Source organism: Homo sapiens, chromosome 11 (genome assembly GCF_000001405.40).
Source record: "Homo sapiens chromosome 11, GRCh38.p14 Primary Assembly".
Lineage (NCBI taxonomy): Eukaryota > Metazoa > Chordata > Mammalia > Primates > Hominidae > Homo > Homo sapiens.
In genome coordinates this window covers 27194650-27216632 of record NC_000011.10, presented here as the reverse complement: position 1 = coordinate 27216632, position 21983 = coordinate 27194650, and the positions used below count along the sequence as shown (strand labels likewise).

Here is a 21983-nt window from a genome sequence, read left to right as displayed (position 1 = left end):
TTATTTATTTTTTTGTCACTGGAGCAAAGCAGAGGCTTTTCTTGGTTCAATCAGGAGTCATGAGCAAGGACAAGTAGAGAAGCTGAGCAGCTGTCGGGAGAATTCAGGCTGGAGTGGGCTCAGTGCCCAGGCCTTGCAGCCTGAGCTAGGGAGGAACACGTTGAAATGTGACATCTGCTGCCCAAGCTCCCCCTGACGCCCACCCCCTTCCTTGTCCAGCTGCTCAGGAGAAGGGAGGAAGCTAGCATTTTCCCATTGCCATTGTGTACCTGACAAGTTCATTAATCTTAGCTTATCTTATCCTCATGACCTCTCAAGCTGGTTATCATTTCTTTTTTATGGAAAAGGAAAAGGAAGAGGAAGAGGAGATTCAGAAGTGCCCAAGGGCACACATGGGGGCAGAGCCAGCATGCAAGCCCAGAGTCTTGGACTCTAAAACCCATGTTCCTTTCACGGCACTTGATAGTTCTTGTGGACCCAGCCAAGATATCACTGGCAGCATCTGGTTTATCATGAATCTGTGCAGTGTATGGCCAGAGGAGACAGAAATAAACCTAGAGGCAGGTGGCTCCTGGCATTAATGGCCTGAAGAAAAGAGAAGCCCAGGCCCAAGACTCCTTCCTAGTTTGCATATCCTTCCCTCCCCCGCTACCTCCCCACTTCACCTTCCTGCCCCTAATGCCCTGGACCAATCCTTGACCTGGAGAGGGCAGCTTGTCCTGGTGCCAGCCCAGCATGCTCAGGCCTAACAACAATAGCTGGAAGGGCCTCTTGGAGCAAGTACTTCCTGAAGTGCCCAGAACAGCCACTGTCCTTGCGGCTCAGGAACAATCACAGCTCACGCCAGCTTCCGTGCTCCATTTCAGAGCCTCCAGCACTCTCAGTGGAGCCCCTGGGCCTGCTGTTGCAGGTTCCAAGCTTCAGGAGAGACAGGTAGACAAGGAGTCCAGGAGGCTACCCCTCAGACTGCTCAAATGCCTGTGGTTTAGGAGGACCTCAAGTTTTTTGTTTTTTTTTTTTTCTTAAAGTAAAGTTGGAAGAAAAATCTGGATAGTCGTTGTCCTTTACCCTTCCTGTAAACCAGTGGCCTCCTCCTTCATCTTTGTTCTTCTGTCATCTTTCTTTGGGCTTTGAAAACAAAGAGGGAGAAAAAGAAAACCACAAGTAAAAATTTAATTCTGGAATAACATTATACGCTTGACTCTTCATTCAGCAACACTGAATGAGGCCTGCTATGTGTAACCACTTTGGGGTACAAAAAAACTATTCAAATTTATTCACTTATTTATAAATGTATCTGGTCATTTCACAGTAATGATAGAGCCCCCGCCAAGCTGCAGGCATTGTAGATATAGAAATGCCTGGGTAGCTTGGACCCTGTCCTGTGCAGCTTCAAGTCAAGGGTGGGAGGTGGACAGAGAACCTGTAGTTGAAATACCCAGTTTATGTGCTGAGTGCTGGGAAGGGGAAGCACAGGGTGATGGGGTAGCACACACAGAAGGGGCAGCTGACCCTGACCAAGAATCCTGGAGGATGGATAGGAGGGAGCCCAAGGGAAAGTGAGGTTAGGTGGAGTAGGCGAATGCATAGGAAGAGACATTGACATTTGAGAAGGCTGGAGGTGAAAAACAATGCATATTTTGCATTAAATATAAAGGAGGTTCATGTGGCTGGATTGCGAAAGGAACAATAATCTCTAGTTGTTAGGAGTCCAAGCTCTGGATCCAGTCGGCCTGGGTTAGAATCTTTGTTGGGCCGCTTATTACTGTGTGTCCTTGGTGAAGCTATTAATGCTTCTGCAACTCAGTTCTCTTATCTGAAAAATGGAGAGGATGAAAATAATAGTACCTACTTCATAGGTTGCGGCAAAAATGAAAATGAGCAAATATGCATGAAGTACTAGAACCATAGCTGGCATGCAGTAAGTAAGGGCTTTAGAAGCGTCACCTATGATTAGGTGAGGAGTAGGGGACAGGAGGCTTGGACAAGCAAGGAAGTTAGTTCCATACACCTGTAATGCCTGTGGGCCAGGCATTAGCAAACCAAGCAGAATCAGAAAGACCCAGCTGCTGACTGCAGGGAACTTGCAGTATTGACTTGTTAAAAACTTGGACCTTGGAATCAGAGAGACCTGCCTTCCAACCTGTCTCATCTGTGTAGTCATAGGCAGATTATTTGCTGTCTTTGAGCCTTCTTTTCATCGGTAAAATGGGCATAATGATAGTATATTCTTTATAGAGTTGGGGTGAGGATTGGTGAGACCATATGTGTGTGTGTGTGTGTGTGTGTGTGTAGTCTCTCTGTATATAAAAACACATATAATGTGAATATATATATGTGTATATATAAAATAGTGCTAGCAAAATAGTAGCTATTATGCCAATCAGGGTAGGAGATGACAGGGAAATAACCATAATACAGGGAGAATATTTTATAATAATCAGGATGGTGACGCCCTTAGACACGGTGGCTACAGGCTCTCAGTGGTTTCCCATAGCTCTAAAATAAAGATGTACTTAGCTCACTGGCTTCATCTATCTTCATTTTCTCTGCTCTCTCTACTTCATCTACCCCGCTTTGTACTACACTGCCTAGACGTTCCTGCTCCCCAGACCTACAGATTCCAGGTGAAACATCATTCACTAGCAGAAGCTTTTCTTGAACCCCAGATGGGGTCAAGTTTATGTCCCCCACTAGATACTCTCACAGTATCCTTTATTTTGATTAGTGTCTGTTGTCCATCTAGACTATAAGCTTCATAAAGTCAGGGGTCATATCTTTTTTACTTATTATTGTCTCTCCATCAATTATTATGGTCCCCATATTAAGAAACCAATAAATATTTACTAAATACGTAAACACAAATGCAGCCAAGATCGAACTTTTATAAAGGGAGAAGCTGGAACCTGCTCCACTTCCACTCAGAGAACACAATTTTCCAGGGCCCTCTGCAGATTCCAAGACCCCATTTCTTTGCCTGAACAGCAGTGTAACTGATATGTCACACTGTAATGAACCAGAGGGCTGATTAAGAGCTTATGTAAATGTTGGGACTTTTGGCAGCATTCATTTCCCTCTGATTTTGGCATGACTCAAAGCATGGGAATTTTTCAAAAGAGAGAGCTTTCAGAAAATACCCACACCCAACGGTGGAAACCTTAGAAGAACACAGTGCAGAGGAACGTTCCTCAGCGAGGGATTAAGGGACTCTCAGCAGGTTTTCAAAGGCATATGGAGACAAGATGTCAGTGTGAGCTTGTTTCTCTGACAGAATCTGAAACGCTTTTAACCAGCAAGTTACCAAGAGGCTTTTAAGTGAAGAGGCTAATGTTGTAGGTTTATAAATAAATGGATGTTTGTGGTGACTTCTTTGTGGTTCATGTGACAGGGAGAACATCAGGGAGGGGAGATTATGTCTTGTATTAACAGGTAAATTGCTTTTTCTGCCTCTTGGTTAAGTGAGCAGGAGGACAGAGTGCCCTGGGTAAGGAATTGGGAGACCCCCCTTTTCTTTTCAACTGATCCTGGCTTTCCCTGTGATAAGCAGTGTGACCATGGACAAGATATTAACCGTCCTCTGCCTCAGTTTCCTCATCTGCCCAATGAAATTTATAATGCCTTGTCAAATTTTTATAAAATTAACTTGTAATACTGGTAGCTAAAACTTACTGAGCACTTAATATATGTCAGCCCCATATGAACTCGGTCAATCTTCACAACCACCCGTGAGATAGGTTACTACTATTGCCCCTACTTTACAGAAGAGAAAACTGAGGCACAGACACTCTAAATACCTTGTCCAATGTCACAAAGCTGGTAAGTAGTGGCACTGGGATTTGAACCTAGGCTACCTGGCTCTGGAACCAGATTTAATGACTGTGCTCTATGCTACTGCCTTTCTAAGTAGAGAGGGCCTTCTTAAAGGCCTTAAGAAGAATAAAGCCCGCTGGCTGGTTGGCTGGGCAGGATCTCAACAGAAAGTCTGCAGAGGAAAGGAGAAGACAGAGTGTCTACCAAGGGGAGATGTTATGGGTAATCATCTCTAGAAGGGGAGTTTTACCTTTTTATGGCTAGTATGGGAGAATGAGAGTTCTTAGACCTTGGGCTTGGAGACAGATATGGGCTTGAATCCATGTTTGGTCACTTAATATGTAACTTTTGGGGTAAATTACTAATCTGATCTGAGTTTCACAGCTCACCTTAAAGACAGAGCTATCAAGGTTACAGGATGTTGTGTGGATTATGTGAGAACATGTCAGGCATATGGTGCTCAACGAGTTTCTCCCTTCCCCTTTTTAACATGGTCCCCCCAAAATGAATTTATCTGGTGTCAATCACACTTTGAAACTGGTTTGGGATATGTTTATTCTCTGGGCTGCATTTTACATTGATAGTGTTTTTTCGGGTCAGGGTAATTGATAGGTTTTTGGGGTTCACTCCCACACTCACATTTGCCTACCAATGGGCAATTTTCTTGTCCTTTGGTGTGAGGCACATAGCCATTTCAGAGGAGGTTTTAGCCTTGTTGAGGATAAGGTCTCAGCCCCATCCCAGTGATGAACTGGAAATGGACAGGAAACATAAGGACACTGGATTCCATACACTTTTCCTGGGTACCATTTCTGTGCTGGACCCAGGGGTGTTGGTTGTTCAACCAGGAAGCCAGCTGGCTAGTTGGCTGTGGTCTCAGCTGAGAGGAACTTGAAGACATGACGAGAACTTCCTATCAAGGAAGTGGGGAGCCAGGAGAGTCAGCAGACAAACCCATGCCAGAGTCTATGAGGGCTGCTTGGACTCATACTCCAGAGAGTCCAGAGGCAAAGTCCAGTAAGGTCGGGAGAGATGGGGATTACACATAAAATCTTAAAAGCTGGATTGCATCTGGAAAAGGCCACAGTGCAAGTTCTGGATACGTCCAGGTAAATAGGTACAATCTGGATTTAAGGAAAAGAGCGTACATTGTGTGTGCGAGTGCCAGGTGATTTCAAATTAGGTGTCATATTAGGCATTGAAAGATAGCCAGATAAATCCTAGCATTCCCTGGCAACACCACAAGGGGGCAGACATTCAGGTGGGAGGGTTATGTTATAACAGGAAGAAACATTGATTTTGGTTCTTAGTCCCTTCTTAGCTCGTAATAATAGCAGTTGCATGTATTGAACACTTACTATGGGTCACAGACTGTGAGCATGCAATCTCCTTTAATCTCCGCAGCAAACGTATAATATTAAGACCTATTTTTCCATCTTTTTTTTTTCTTTCTTTGAGACAAGGTCTCACTCTGTTGAACAGGCTGAATGCAGTAGTGCGATCATAGCTCACTATAGCCTCGAACTCCTAGGCTCAAGTGATCCTCTTGCCTCAGCCTCCTCAGTATCTGGGACTACAGGAACATGCCAACACATCTGACTAACTTTTAGTTTTTTCAGTAGAGATGAGGTTTCACTACGTTACCTGTGCTGATCTGAAACTCCTGGGCTTAAGTGATCCCCTGCCTGGGCTTCCCAAAGTGTTGGGATTATAGGTTTGAGCCACTGTGGCCAGCCAGATTCTCTTTTATTGGACAGGAAACTATAAGCCTTGGTCCATATCCACAAGGTATTGATGTTGCCGTGACCACAGAATGATAGAATATCAGAAACATCCCTCTGATCAGTCCTGTCCTCATCTTCTCTACCAAGTCTAGGCCAAGTCTGGGGGCCTGAAGGCCAGTTTTGGGATTTGCTCCGTTGTAGAAGGCTGTAGAAGGTGGCCCATCTACTCACTCACTCGCTATATGTTAGTTGAGGTGCCCACTATGTGTCAGAGAATGTTCTTGACATAGGTGACGAGATAGACCCTGCTCTTACAGACCTTGCAGTCACAGGAGTGACCAAATTACCAGTGTGATAAACTCTTTTGTTAAGGAAGGTAGCAGGTGTTATAGGGACTCATAAACGGAGCACCACTTAAATAAATAAGAGGAGACTTCCTGAAAGAAGTAACAACTAAACTACATACACGGAGTCAAGCTCTGCATGAAAGGTGCCATCAAGGCTTAACATTCAAAGGGCATGGTCATATTCACTGTATACACTGGCATGGAGCAGAAATTTAAAACAAAAATGAAAAAGTATAATTAAAAACCTAGGCTTAAAATTAAAAAAAAAAATATATATATATATAAAAAACAGAACCCTTGTCTGCCATCTCTCTCACCCTCAGCACTGTGCAAACCCATCTGGGTACTGTTCAGTTCTTTGAATGCTGCTTGACACGGACAAACAAGAGGGCATTAAAAGGGGAGGTCACAGCTGGGCGCGGTGGCTCATGCCTGTAATCCCAGCACTTTGGGAGGCCAAGGCGTGTGGATCACATGAGGTCAGGAGTTCGAGACCAGCCTGACCAACATGGCAAAACCCTGTCTCTACTAAAAATACAAAAATTAGCCGGGCCTGGTGGTGGGTGCTTTTAATCCCAGCTACTTGGGAGGCTGAGGCAGGAGAATCACTTGAACCTGGGAGGTAGAGGTTGCAGTGAGCTGAGATCACGCCACTGCATTCCAGCCTGGTCGACAAGAGCAAAACTCAATCTCATTAAAAAAAAAAAAAAAAAGGAGTTCACCAAGAAGTGGAGAGATTTGAAGCATTATAATGCAAGAAATTGGTTGCATTTTGAAGGGTACACAGTGAGGTAGAGGCATAGCAAGGGGAAGCCTCACTTCTTGTCTGGGCTACAGTAGCCCTCCATCTTCCTCCTCTTTACACACACTCCAGATGAAATACCCTATATGATGACTCAGAGTCATTAATAACATGACCACTTGTGCAGCCCAAAGATTAGACAGCCAAAGCCAAGAGTCTGTTGTGTTGAAGTGGCTCTGGGTGGGAAGCATTCTCCCCAGAGACTGGGGCAGGGTATGACTTGCCAGGGGAGGGTTTGCAGAATGTTTAGACTGTGACTCATGAAGGTCTTAGATGAATAAATAGCTCTCTTTCTGCTGTGACTGTTGACAGGGCTGGTGACAGCTTACCTTTGCAGTTGCCAAGGAGAATCTCACTCTGATTTTTGACAAGTTCAATTTTCCTAACCAGCTGGGGTCTCCAGAATGGCCACCATGAATAAAGGCCTGGCCAAATATAAAGGGCAATGAAGCAATAGGTAATATTTGGAGGTATGAAATCTGAAGTGCAAACATCTCCTCCCAGCCAAGGAAGAGTCATCATTGGGAAGGGAAGATTAAAGGAAGAAAGTTTTCTGCTTTCTGGATTGGGAAAACAATATCTTGCATCTTTGTGTGGCTAGTTGGCCATTTTATTAATAGTCTTAGAGCTTCATAATCCTGGTGAGAAGAAAGATAGTCCTCTTTCTGGAAACATCTATATAATTTAAAATCTATTTGGCTATAAGTAATAAAACCCTGACGGATAGTGGCCCACACCATATCACTTTGATTATCTCACATAATAGGAAGTCTGGAGATAAGTAGTCTAAAGTGAGAACAGCAGTTCCACAGTATTATTGAGTTGACGGGCACTTTTTCATCTCTATATTTATGTAGGTCATTGATTCTTCTGCCTGTTTCTCATGGTTTCAAGATGGCTGCCGTGTCTCCAGATATTACAACAGTATTCAAAAGTAGACAGGTGACAAGGAGTGGGAGTGTGGAGTGGCAAAAGATCCTTTTCTTGGAATGACTATGTCATTTTATCAGTGAGGAAACAAAAGTATCCCAGAAGCCCTCCCAGCTGATTCACTCTTATACCTAAATGACCACAATATTATTGACCAGAACTGGGTCCCATGACTGCCCTTAGATGCAAGGGAGCCTGGAAAAGTGAGTGTCTGGCAAATGTTAATGAAATAGTCATGACTGACTTAGGTCAATCACGATTTAACCCCCACCAACCCAGGGCTGGCACTTTTCTGTCTTGAATAAAGCTAATGTTTTGTTGGTAAGGAAGAAGGTTGTTGGGGATGGGGCCTGTTTCTACCGCATGCCTTTGGAAAGCTAGTCCAACATTATAGTATGATAATACATCATTAGTACAAAATAAAAAACTAGAAATAGAGGTGTGAATTTGCAGGATTTTCAAGGCATGAAGGTCTTTGAGAGTGTGATGGACCCCAAAGACTGTCAGTATGTGCTAATAGAAGATTGCAGAGAAAAATAACAAGTCACTTAACACACCCATTGTCGTACTCACCCTTTAAGGCCCAAGCCAACTTTGCCTGCTTGTGAATCTTCCCATCCCTTGCAGGTAGAGCTAGCCCGTCCCTCCTCCTTGCTCCCATTGCACTTTTCACATACCTTGATTATACGAATCACCAGCTTGAATTCAGAATCAACAGGTATTTATTGTGTTCCTATTCTGTCCTGGCCCCATGCTTGGTATCTCTCTATGTCAGTTTAGAGTAGACCTTCCATGGCTTCCCCTTGTAATGAGGTAATGGACATTCAGGGATAGTAAACTCAAGTGAATTTTAAACTTAGCTCGTAAGGCCCTTTGTAGCCACTCTGGTTTACTTCTCTTATCTCAACTATCCTGACCACCATCTCTTTAAAACCTGTGTTTCATCCATTCTCTTGACTCATGGAAGCTATCCATTTCTTCTCTCCCTGCTATTCCTTCTACAAAAAAACAATATTCTTTTCTTCTATGCTTGGTCAGTTTTCACTTATCTTTCACACCTTATTTTAGATGTCATTTCCTGGAAATGAGCTAGGTAGGACTGAGCTAGGTAGCCTTTGTCTGTGATCTGTCTTGCCATCTTAGTCTGCTTGCATTGCTATCAAAGAATAACCAAGGCTGGGTAATTTATAAAGAAAAGAGGTTTATTTGGCTTATGGTTCTGCAGGCTGTACAAGAAGCATGGTACCAGCATCTGCTTCTGGTGAGAGCTTCAGGGAGCTTCCAATCATGGAGGAAAGGGAAGGGAAGATGGCTGTGCAGAGATCACATGGTGAGAAAGGAAGCAAGAGAGAGAGGTGAGAGGTGCCAGGGTCTTTTTTAGAAACCAGCTCTTGTGGGAATGAATAAAGCAAGATCTCATTTATTACCATGAGGAGTGGACCAAGCCATTGAGAGGGATCTGTTCCCATGACCCAAACACTTCCCATTAGACCCCACCTCCAACACTGGGGATCACATTTCAGCATGAGGTTTGGAGAGGTCAAACAAACCACAGAACCTGCCCTGCATATCATAATTCTAGTCACTGTAATGTAAGTCCCTGAGTTTCCCAGTGGTGGGACTGAGGTGCATTCATCCCTTCATTGCCAATGCATGGTACAGTGTCTGATCCATCCTGGGGGATATTTGTTGAATGGCTGAGTGACAAAGCTTTTCATCAAATATTTAGTGCCAGATTATGCGTCAGAGCCCAAAGTTGTAGCCCTGGCTCAGAGGAGGAGGTTCCTGAGCACTCAGTGGGGCTGCAGTTGAGTAAACACTGGGCTTGTTGCCTTGTCATGGTGTGACCACAGAAAAAGCACATTCTATCTCTAGGCATAAGCATTATTCTTCTGGGGGAGAAAAAAGAGGAATTAGTTTTCAACTTTTTTTAAAAAAACAGGAAAAGTCCCCTTTGTTTTCTTTCCCAAATAAACGATCACACTGAAAAGCAATCTCAAAAACATAGTGGAGATGATTTGCCTAAAACAAGGGTATACTAAGTTGCTATTTCTGTCATAACAAATTACCACAAATTAAGTCGTTCAAAAGAACACACGATTGGACCGGGCGTGGTAGCTCATGCCTGTAATCCCAGCACTTTGGGAGGACAAGGCAGGCAGATCACTTGAGGCCAGGACTTTGAGACCAGCCTGGCCAACATGACCAGCCTTAGCCGGGCATGGTGGCACATGCCTGTCGTCCCAGCTTCTTGGGAGGCCAAGGCATGAGAATTGCTTGAACCCAGGAGACAGAAGTTGCAGTGAGCCAAGATGGCGTCAGTGCATTCCAGCCTGGGAGACAGAGTGAGACTCTGTCTCAAAACAAAACAAAACACATGATTATCATTTTATAGTTCAACAGGTTAGAAGTCAGATGGGTTTCACTGGGCTAAAATCAAGATGTTGGCAGGACTGAATTCCTTTCTGGAGGTTCTGTGGTAGCAGCCTTTTTTTTTTTTTTTTTGCCTTTTCCAGTTTCTAGAAATTCCACTTTTGGGGCTCATGGCCCTTCCTCCATCATCAAAATTAGCAACATTGCATCTCTCTAATCATTCTTCCACAGTCACAGCTCCTGACCACAGCTGGGAAAGGTTCTTTATTTTCAAGGTCCTGTGTAATTAGATTGGCCCCACTTGGATAATCCTAGATAATCTCCCTGTCTCCCAGTTCTGAACTTAGTCATATCTGCAAAGTTCCTTTTGCCATGTAAGATAACATATCACAGATTCTAGAGGTTAGAACATGGACATCTTTGGGAGGCCATTATTCTGTCTACCACAGGGAGAAAGAAAAGTAAGATGGGTAGGGGCCTTTCTCTTTGACTTTCCCTTCTTGGACAGCCCTTGTGTCTGCAGTGGTCCTAGAAGCCCTAGAGCAGAGTTAAGACCTCACTGGTCTCTAAGATGTATTGTGGCTCTAATGAAAGGGCTAAATAGCTGTAGGACCTTGGAATGTTATTTATCTCTCTGTCTCTTTGTTTCAGTATCTGTAAAACAGGAAAAATTAGTCTATCTAGCTGATAGGGTTGTGCTGAGGTTATAGGAAACAATCTATGTGAAATACTTAGCCCAGTGCATGGCACACAGTAAACATTCAGGAAATGCTAGGTATTTTCATTACTAGGTGCCCTAGGGTCCCTTTCCATTCAAATAGCTGGCTCCATCATCCTAATTTAAAACAGAGCTGCAACAGATGGCATGAGAACTGCTTTTCCTGGGTCATTTAGCCATCACAATAAACTTTTTTTTTAAAGTTTCACTTATTTTCCCTAAAAAACAAAGCACATTTTTGTGCCTGTAGGGTTAAAAACTTCTTTTGTCCTTTTGAGCATCTATAAAATAATGGAAAATATGGTAGGTACCAATGAGAACCAAGAGGCTGGGTGACAGCAGAGTTCTGCTCTGACCAGAAGGCAGTGAGCAGGACCTGGTGTTTATTTAGGAACATATAAAGAGAGCTGAGGCTACAGCTGGGAGACAGTTTACGAAACACAAACACTAGGGAAGTTTACCAAATATTAGGCTTGAATTTTATAGCGTCTGGAAGAAGCACTGTATTCCAGAGGACAATAAAAATCTGGCCTTCTAAAGGTAAATAGTCCCTCATGTCACTTTTGAAGACAGGAATGTTCATGGGAGGGGTCCATTCCTGTTTGAGAGATGCAGGTCTTCCTTCTCTTGTCTCCAAAGCCTCTTGTGGCATCGTTGAACTGGAGCCAATCAGAGCAGGGAGTGTCAATACCCTTAAGTGTGTACTCATCCTTTCTGATTCGATCATACCACTTGGGGGATTCTACCCTCATATGGAAACTCCAAATGTGGAAAAATCTTTATGCACAAAGATGCTTAGTGCAGCTTTATTAGTAATAGCCCTAGATGGAAAGCATCTCAAATTGTCTGTTGTTAGGGGAAGGTCTTGGCAAATTATGGCACATCTTGACAATGGAATAGAAGGTGGCCAGTTCTTACAAGGAGCCTTGAAAGCATTACAATAACTGAAAAAATAGACACAGGATACACATTTGTATATTTAGTCTAATTTCTGTGTTGTTAGGAAATATATCAGAAAGTTATCTGTGGTTGTTCTTAGGTGTTTGGAGTAAAGGAAAATTTTCCCTTCCCCTTTTTATTACTATTTTTCTCTATTTTCCATCTTTTACAACTGAATGAATAACCTAGTGTTTAAACACCTTGGGTATGGAGGCTGCTGCCTGCGTTTGAACCCCGCCCCCTTCTGGCTGGCTGCTGAACCTTTCTGAGTCTCAGTATTCTCTTCTGTCTTGTGGGGGTAATAATCATTCCTACCTTGCAAGATGGATGTGAGCATGAAAGAGATAATCCAAGTGAAGGGCTTGACACAGCACTTTGCAGAGTAAGTGCTCATAAGATGCCAGCTGGTATTGTATTGCTATGTTCGGATTTCATAACTATTTCCAACAAATCTAAAAATCTTAGAGATGGGGCCAGGCGCAGTGGCTCACGCCTGTAACCCCAGCACTTTGGGAGGCCGAGGCAGGCAGATCATTCGAGGTCAGGTGTTCAAAACCAGCCTGACCAACGTGGTGAAACCCCGTCTCTACTAAAGATATTTTAAAAACTAGCCAGGCATGGTGGCTGCTGCCTGTAATCCCAGCTACTTGGGAGGCTGAGGCAGGAGAATCACTTGAACCTGGGAGGTGGGGGTTGCCGTGAGCCAAGATCGTGCCATTGCATTCCAGCCTAGGCAACAAGAGTGAAACTCCGTCTCAAAGAAAAAAAATCTTAGAGATGGAAGGCATCTCAAATAGTCTGCGATTAGAGGAAGGACTTGGTAAATTATGGCACATCTTGATAATTGAATGGAAGGCAGCCAATTGCTTACAAAGAGCCTTGAATATCAAAAGAAACTGCTACTCTCCTACCTTAATCAGTGAAAGACTTACTCCAAAGGTTTATCAAACAAACTTTCTTTTTCCTAGTTCTTAATCACTTATGGTATTTTGGAGAGCATCTACATAGTTAGCAGCTAAAGGCCTTCTGAATGAGAATACCCAATTTTTCTCTTGGGAGAAAAATGTCTAAGACTGCAGCTGTCTCTTCAGTTGCTGACAATCCCTGCTCTTCTACCTTCTCTAAGCATCAGTTCCCGTTCCTCCCATTTTGGGAGGTCTCCCTAGATGATCATCTGTGTATCCACCAACTATGTATCAGTTTGGCTGCACATAAAGAAAAGCTGACTAGAGCTGTGTAAAGGAGTGTGTTAGTCATTTATTGCTGCATAACGAATTATCACAAACGTCATGGCTTAACGCAACATGCATTGATTATCTCGAAGTTTCTGTGGATGAAGAGTCCAGGCACGGTTTAATTGGGTCCTCTGCTCAGCTGTTATGAATGTGTCAGGTGGGCTGCATTCTTATATGGAGGCTTGGCTTGGGAAGAATCCACTTCCAAGCTCATTCAGATGGTTGGCAGAATGTATTTCCTTGCTGCAGTAGGACTAAGTGCCCTGGCTTCTTGCTGATTGGAGGCCAACTTCAGCTCCTAAAGGCCACTCACAGTTCCTAGAGGCCATTTGCAGTTCCTTGCCATGTAGGCTTTCCCGACAAGGCTGCTTACTTCATCAGGTCAGCAGGGAGAATCTCGAGAGTAAGCCTGCTAAGAAGAAGCTTTGCATAACATGACATAAGCAGCAGAGTCACATTCCGTCCCCTTTGCCACACTGGTTAGAAGCAAGTCACAGGCCCTACCCATATTCAAGGGGAGTGGAGCACATACAGACATGACCACCAGCAGGTGGGGATCATGGGGGCCACCTTAGAGTGTCCAGCATAACAAGGAAGGGTTTATTTTTTCATGGTGACAAGGAGCCCAGCACAGGCAGATTGGGGTGAGGGAACGTATCCATGGTGCTATCCATATTTCAGCCTCTTCTGTGTGTTTTGCCATTTTTCACCCCACTTTTTTTTTTTTGTTTGTTTTTTGAGACAGAGTTTCACTCTTGTTGCCGAGGTTGGAGTGCAGTGGCGTGGTCTCGGCTCACTGCAACCTCTACCTCCTGGGTTCAAGCGATTCTCCTGTCTCAGCTTCCCAAATAGCTGGAATTACAAGCACACACCACCATGCCTGGCTAATCTTTGTATTTTTAGTAAAGACGGGGTTTCACCATGTTGACCAGGCTGCTCTCAAACTCCTGACCTCAGGTAATCTGCCCGCCTCAGCCTCCCAAAGTGCTGGGATTACAGGCGTAAGCCACCACGCCCGGCCCACCCTTTTGATCATAAAATGGTTCTTCTAAGTTTCACATCATCATCATTCAAAGAGCTTCAAACAATAGATTCCTGGAAGCCCTACCCAGACACATGGCCCATTGGCTCTTGCATTTGTATCAGTGGGCCATTTCCACCACAAAGACCATTGGGAAACACACACAGTTAATAAACAATATCCACTGTGACCCCAACAAAAATGCCAAATGTAGTTGGCATGTGTCTTTTGACCTTCAATACATGGGCACATGGGTTAACGCTTTCCACTGAGGGCTGGCCTATGAATAAGTTACAAAGCTTGAATGAGAAAATGCATACATAATCATTTGCACAGTGCCTGGCACATGACATCTTCTCAATCAGTGTTGCCTCTTTTCACCATTCCCTACCTGCTCCCCGACAACTCTGATGCCTTTTTTTTTTCTGCGTCGCCCCTGCCTCTGGGTTTAAATGCTCCAAACACAGCAGCACCTCCAGAGTTAAGCACCCTGTCAGGCCGACAAGTCTGTATTTATGAGGGAGGAATGTAATAGCCCCAGCTGGAACCCTGCCAGGGGACTAGCAACTGCAACGCCCTTATTTGCTCTGGGGAGGAGCAGCTTGGAAACTTTTTATGAGATTCCAGAAGCAGCAAGGTCATCAGTTTTATGGCCATCCCACTTCGTTTGTGAATACGGCCTTTGAATGATAATGTTTGGGTTCCTTGACACAAACAAGGCTAGTGTTAGCTCCGTTGGAATGGGAGACAATAAAATAAAATATATTCTGTTCCACGTGACTGCAAGGTGTTCTGAGTAATTTCAGACCCCAACAAACAACAACAAACCAGTTGTACATTCAGAGAGCTTGATTTTTAGATAGCCTCACTATAAAGCCCCTGTGTGTGTCTGAGGCAGGTAATCTGATTTGTCAGGTCACAAGCGAAGCAACATGTGTTTACTATCACACTCATTTCCCAGCCAGCTGCAAGTGTCTGAAGGAAAGCTCTTGGTCAGGCCTGTTTGCTGTGATAAAGTCAAGGCCAAGGAGGAGGGCTGCCTGCTCACCAGGCTCCATGTGTTCTTGTAAATAAGAACTACCCTCTCCAGTGACACCTGGGCATCTTTCTCTAATTGCTCACTGGACCGTGGCTTTTATTACAGTTGAATATTTGCTAGGCTGAGCCCAGGAAACATTCAGCTTCCATTGTCTGGCTGGCTGCCACCGTCTGCTCTGCATTACAGTTGGCCATGGGTACAAGGTCAACCCATTTTTGGGTTTCTTTATTTTGGGCCAGCCACATGGCAGCAAAGACAGAGGCCAGCCTCTGTGTGTGTGTGTGTGTGTGTGTGTGGACTGAGGGGGAGTATGGGCAGAGGAGGCAGGAAGTGGTAGAGAGGCAGGAAGACACTTCATAAATGAATGAAATTCTCCTTTATAGGCACAATTCCTGGTACCAAATACACTTTTGATGAATGTTTGTTGAATGAACAAATGAGTGATTCTATTCATTTAACCAGCATTTATTGAATACCTACTGTTTGCCAGGTGCCTAAAGTCTGATGATAATGCACAACTTTACAAACAAGATTTGTATTCTCCTGGAAAATGAATTGTTTGGGGAGTGAAGAGGATCAACAAATGAATGAGCGAGATGTAATTGACAAATGCCCTATGAAAAACAGGAGTCAGGGTGTGGAGGTGGAGGTGGAGGGGGCTGGGGATGGAGAGCTACTATAGATAGGAGACTTTCCTGAGGAGGTGATATTTGAGCTAAGACTTGAATGATGAGAGGGCACCAGTCATGAGATCTCTGGGAATGCATGTTCCTGGCAGAGAGAGAACACATTTCTAGAAGGTGTAAGGAAGGCTGAAGCTACAAGAGACAGGAAACTATAGCTTACACACTTCAGCTGAAGAGAGGGCTCATCTTTCCTTTAGAATGTGGGCAAAGATCAGGAAATTAAAAACAGAGGTATAAGGAGTAGGAGTAGGAGTAAGGAGTGGTGTTGGAAATAAGAAGTTTAATAGAAAGTCTGCTTTCTGAGCAGGTGGCCCTCTACCTTTGCAGTGAAACTCCTGGGAGCTAGGTTCTATCCCCAAGGCAGGCACATTGAAAGGCTATTCTCTAAAGAAATTGGATGGCCCTAGACAAATGACTTCCCCGTTGAGGAACTTAGGGGATCCCCCTGACTGATCATCCTACAGGGAAGCCTGCTAATCAGTCCAAGGCTCACTGGGGTACACAGAGCTCCCAAGCAGTCATTTATTCTTTGTAAATAATGACAATTAAGCTTCACTAGACAGATGAACAACACTTGCAATAAAAATGAATGAATAATGTTTCCACTTAGTAGACTGCTGACCTGTGAAAGTCTTGCTTAGGGCCTATCAGAGTTAGAGGGACCTTGGGAGTTAGGGAGGTCATTTGGCTTTCAGCTGCACAGAGGCCTAAAGCTTTCTAAGTTGGGCTTTTAACATTGTCTAGAAATGCACACATAGGTTTGAAAGAGGAAGATGTTCATAATTAAACCTATATGCCATTACTGAACAAAATGCCTACAGTATACTGTGAATTAACGTATTACATAAATCCTAAATTAATTTTTGAACAGCGTAAGTACATAGCATGTATTTTTGAACATTAGAAGTATACCTTTGTTAAACACAAAAATTTAACACATATCATAATTTCAAAAACTATTTTGGCATATATATATTTTGTAATTTGCTACAAACCTCAAGGAATAGAAGTAGTCTGCCTGCATACCTGAATCATCTGGACCGAAGTTCAAATGTACCCCGAAGTGTCATTATACACTTGCAACAGCTTCTTAGATAGAATGCAGGATTCCATTAAGCACAAAGATCTTTAGAGTTAGACTGAAAAGACGTTCACATATTTTTAGATTCTATTGCATTCAAAAGTCTATAACATGAGATAGAAGAGACATACAAAGATCTTAGGAACCAAAGAAAATACATAATCTAATCAAGAGATTGAGCTGGGCTGCAGTTTCAGATATATGTGAATAGATGGACGAATCAGGGTTTGTGTATAACTTGAGTCCCATGATTTGATCATGCCTCCTTTGAAGTTATAAAACCATTGATATAACCACTAAAAATAGAGTTCAATTGTCACATCAAGGCCACCAACATCTCTGATAATTACAACGCCCCACATTTCTCTGGATGATTTGATAGTTTTCTTAGTTTTTGTAAAAGCTGTCACAAGGAAGTCTGAATCTCCAAATCTTATGTCCAGTATAACAGCTCTTTGAAAGGTAATTTCAATTAACAAGGATGACGTTTGTGTTTCTTACTGGATAAGTATCTTTAATTTCCTGGAAAGCTTAGATTATATATACAAATGATGATTCAAATCATCATAAAAATATTTTTGTATTAAGAGCCAGACTACATTTGGCATTTCTATATACTTGTAATATTTAAGATAAAAGAATATTTATATTATTCTAATTTAAAATGCATACTAATAAATTATTGACATACAACTTTAAATGGAAATTCATATCAATCATATTTATAAGTATAATTTATTAGATTAAGTATTTGGGAACATTATTGATCAGACAATTGGGGCCCTGAAAGTGAAATTGAATTTCTAAATGTAGTTTAGACAATTTGAAGAAATGTAATTACCTAAGTCTGCAAATATAATCAAGCATTGGTTAAAGACTCTTTAAAAGTGACTAAAAAAGGTGACATTAAAATTTGCTCCATTTCTAAATGGGAAAATAAAGATTCATAAGTTGAATGTGAAACCCAAAGATAAAATATGTTCTTAGATTTATAACTTTAGTAAGTTGACTATTAAAATTCAAGATAAACTCTTCATTAGTCTTATCAATGCACACAACTTACTCTCAGGGCCGCAAAATAACTTAGATTCAAAGAGGTGTCCTCCTGAGGTCACATGGCTCATAAGTGGCACAGTCATAACTTGAGCCCAGGGTCCAGGCCCTGTATCTTTTGGTTGAACCTTGCTGCCCCTCTTGGCTGCATTTTCAGTACCTCCTTTATTAGCACCTGTAATATTTTGTCCTGGATTTTAGGTTGTTTATCTGTGTCTACTTGCGTCTTCCCAGCTGCCAACACTAGGTCAGACATGGGGTGGAGGTGGGGGTAACTCAATAAATGTGTCAGATTCAAATGATGGTAACCCATAAGCAGCCTCTGAGAAAGGGCGTCTTCCTGGTGTGGGGGATGGATAGATAATGTTTTCTCTCTGTGATACTGTTTAGCTTTAAGGGGGTCTAAGTCTGCAGCCCTGGACTCCAGAGACCCATACTCTGATGAAGTGGATGTAAACTAGCCCTGTTCTGTCTGCCTTATTTAAGATTTAATTCCATGGATAAGCTTCCTACTGCTCTCAGGATAAAGAATAAAATCCTTCCAAGCTCAGGGAGACCAGTATTGTCTAGCCCCTGCCCATCTCTCTAGATTCTTATTCCACCTGCTCTGAGTACCCTGGCCTTCATTGAGTTCCTTGAACAAACCAAGATTATCCCTAGATGTAGGCAGGTCTCCACATTGGCCATTCTTAGAGCTCTCTGAACCTCCTCTCTTTCACAGCACTTGCTAGAGGTTGTAACTATCCACTTTTATTTGTAGTTATTTATTTAATATCTTCCTCCTATGGAAAGTCTTTAGCTCTGTGCAAAGTGCCTGCTTTGCTCACCCTTAAGCTTTGTGCACTGTAGGGTTTTAATAAATGCACACTTCTATTATTAATATCTTTACCATTTAATACGTATCTGTTGTTGTGATGGATGAATGAATTAATATGTGGGAATCGATTTTATGGTGATCTTTTGGACTGGCCTGATCTCCACTCAGCCGGGAAAGATTTCAGATGAAATCTTATCAGACAGATAGGGGACATGATGTCTGAGATTCCTTCCAGGCCAATGAGCCTTTTACTTCAGGAAGGCTGTTTGTCACTTTGCTTTAGCCATTGCTTTTATCATTCTTACGGGGATCTGTGGCTGTGTGTGTGTGTGTGTGTGTGTGTGTGTGTGTGTGTGTGTGTGTGTGTATCACCAGAAAGAAAGAGAGAGAGACAGAGAGAGACAGAAAAAGAGAGACAGAAAGTGTGCTGGCATGCAAGGTGATGGGAAATGACCCAGGGAGGCCCCTGGAAACGACCTTGGTTTCCCTGCTTGCCTCATTCAGGCAAGTGAGATCTCATTTGGCAGGGAGTGCATCAGCTGAAAAATGTCAAGCCCTGCACATCAGTGAGTTTTGCATTTCCAAATGATGGGTTTATGATTAAACTCCAATAACTCAAATGCACCATCCGTGAAGGATGCCAGTTCCATCTGGTAATTCTTGTTCTCTTTAATCCCTTCCCCTGTTTATTTTCTGGTCTGTGCCTCAAAATCCCTCAAACCACAGCCATGGGTGGGTGTTTAATCAAATTTTCTGATGACATGTAGACGCTTACCCTCATGGGTAATCATCTACGTTACCTATCCTGAAAATTGTAGAAAAAGACACCAAAGAGCATGAGGCTAGTGAGGGAGATAAGCTGATCCTAAAAACAGGATCCTTGCTTTCTTCCTTGGAAAGACCAGAGTAACCCTGACCTCTAGCTGGGTGGAGACAGCTAGACAGAGAATTCAACTGGTCCCTCCTGCTCTGGTTGGTGGATGTTGCCTGATCCTCTGGGACTAAAAGATAATATTTGGAAATCTCCATCCTAAAAATGTTCACTGTACCCTGCCTGGCTTCTCTTCCCCTCCTCAAAGAATATCACCATTTATTTAGTCCTCAAGATTGGCAAGGCATGAATTCCTGTGTTAGTTCAAATTACACCCAACAACTCTGTGAGGTAGGTGTTACTGCACCCACTTCCCCAGCAGGAAAACGGAGACTTAGAATTTTGTAACTTGCCTGGCACATACCATTACGAGGTGGCCAAATCAGCATTCTTAATCAGGGTTGTCAACTCCAAAGCCTGTTTTCCTTTTAACTCTGAGTCTGGGAGAGACCCTAGGGAGGGTTCAGGTGTCTGGTCTTTTCCCCTCCTCTACGGGGACTTGCTTTGTGGGAAAGGTCTCTCAATCACTGTGCTTATTTGTTCTACGTCTACCTAACTAATTCCTATTTATATTCAGAAGCCAGGCTGATTCTTCTTCCAGATACGTCAGTCCCTGTAAAAGCAAGCAGCTGTCTCCCAGGCCCTTCACTTTCTTGGTGATAACATCTTCATTCTTGCAGACTGAGAGCTCTGTTTGAAACCATGAGGTGAATCAATGAAGCTACCCAATAATGACCCAAAATGGAATTTGAAAGCCCACTGGGGGTTGAAATGTCCAAGAAAGTGTAATTCAGTTTTCTGTTTATCTTTCTCTGTGTGTTTTTAAGATGTTCTAGTCTCAACTAGAGATTTTTCTGGTTGATGAATGGGTTTCAAGCGAACTCTGTTCAGATGAGAATAGGGGGAGGACATAGAAAAACAGTTTCATTCTCTCTTTGATGAGATGATTGAGCTGAGCATGTGGGTGGTGAGATAGGTGCAGTAAGAGGAGGAATTCTAAAAAAAAAAAAAAGCAATAAAAATTTCAGTTCTTTAAAAATGCATTAGCTGATGTAAGGACAATGTTGCTTATGTAATGTGGGCATCTCAGCTTTCCATGGTGGGGTGTCTTCCAGTATGTGTCTGGGTTGATCCACTGACATGGCTAAGATTTTTCAGTGGCTTGCAAACTAACACATTAAGCTAATGGACTTTTTCTGTATTACTTTATTCAGAAGAACAAAGCTTGCCCAGGGCAGTTTGACATGTTCCTATTAAGATACAGTGTTTACCTGACTTCACAGTATCTTATTTTTCTCATTTTAAACTTTTACAGTCACTCAAATAATTAAAAATAATCACATGTTCTTTTAGACATTTTCTATAAAGAAAACATTTATTTAAAAAATTTGATTATGATAGCAGACTATATTTTTTATTTGTTAGTATAACATTGTCCTTGTTCCAAGGCTGCAAATACTTCTATGATATGGTTCTTTCATTTTCTCACATTTATTGAGCACACACTCTCATTCTATTACATGAATGAACCATTATTTAGTTAATACATCTCTCATTGTTAAGAAATTTGATTGTTTACAATATTTTGAAACTATAAACATTGCTGTGATAAACTTGCTTATACATATACAAGATTCTTAGATTAAATTTTCAGAAGTGGAACTGCTAGGTCAAGAGTGGCATTCCTACTTCTGAAAAGGTATGTTTAAATTACTCTTTAGAAAAGTTATACTATTTACGCTTCATCCATGAGTGTGCATTTCCCTGTACTTTCGTCTGATCATAGAAACTTGTTTTTTTGTGTGTGTGCCTGTGACTTACCCAGAGACTTCTTAGCCTACTAATAAATGGCATGTTAAGAAAGCTGACAAAGTTGGAGACTTTAAATACATTCAGGAATCTCAATTTAAGAAACACTCATAGACTATAAGTAGTGAGGCATCCTGCAAGCTGGTGAGAACACAAATACCACTAAGACCAGCCACTGTCTGCAAGAAGCCCACTGAATACCAAAGGAATTAGACGTGGAAGTGCAGAGTGTGTCTGGAGAAATGCTGGCAGACTGGCATGGCAGGAGCAAAGCATAAGAAGATGGTGTTAGGATGGGGAAAGAAGGGTAAGTGTGGGGCTCTTGACTTCTCTAAAAAGCTGGACCATTCTGTTGGCTGTAGACAGACATGAAAGCTTGTGAGAAGGGGAATGTTGTGAGCAGATTTGATTTTTTTGAAAAATCTTTCTAGTTCTCTCTCTTCTTAGCCCTTCACCTCTTTATCACCTGTTTGCTTTTGCTTGCTTTAGGAAGCAAGAGGATAGGGTTGAGAAAATTCGTGTTTGTTTTTGTCTGCATGGATTATTTACTTCTTAAAATTGAAAGTTGGGGGTACAGAGGAATTTTCTCTTTTTTTTAATAAAGTTATATTTTTATTAAACAGCCAAAAATCTTAAGACAAATACCTACAGACAATTTCTTCATTGGCAAATATTTTCCAGTCATAAAACATGATAATTTATGGGATTATATTCCAGTTTCTATACAG

General features: G+C 42.5%; 2 long non-coding RNA genes across 5 annotated transcripts in view, besides 1 other annotated feature; one reads left to right on the top strand and one right to left on the bottom strand.

Moving 5' to 3' along the window:
• BBOX1-AS1 (BBOX1 antisense RNA 1) overlaps window positions 1-21983 on the top strand; it is a 172928-nt gene that overhangs the window by 3481 nt on the left and 147464 nt on the right. The gene's annotated exons all lie outside the window — the stretch shown is intronic.
• Window positions 290-795: an enhancer, noted in NCBI's record as "H3K27ac-H3K4me1 hESC enhancer chr11:27237385-27237890 (GRCh37/hg19 assembly coordinates)". NCBI's record gives its function as "activates a minimal SCP1, AML or CMV promoter by ChIP-STARR-seq in primed H9 embryonic stem cells {active_cell/tissue: H9 hESC(primed)}" and the evidence as "EXISTENCE:reporter gene assay evidence [ECO:0000049][PMID:30033119]".
• LOC124902651 (uncharacterized) lies at window positions 12881-14379 on the bottom strand. 2 transcript variants are annotated; one of them, XR_007062631.1, is made up of 2 exons: window positions 14291-14379; window positions 12881-13290 (listed from the first exon to the last, which is right to left on the bottom strand). It is a non-coding gene; the product is annotated as an uncharacterized LOC124902651 (long non-coding RNA). The 2 variants fall into 2 exon arrangements; XR_007062632.1 differs by having other exon boundaries at window positions 12881-13287.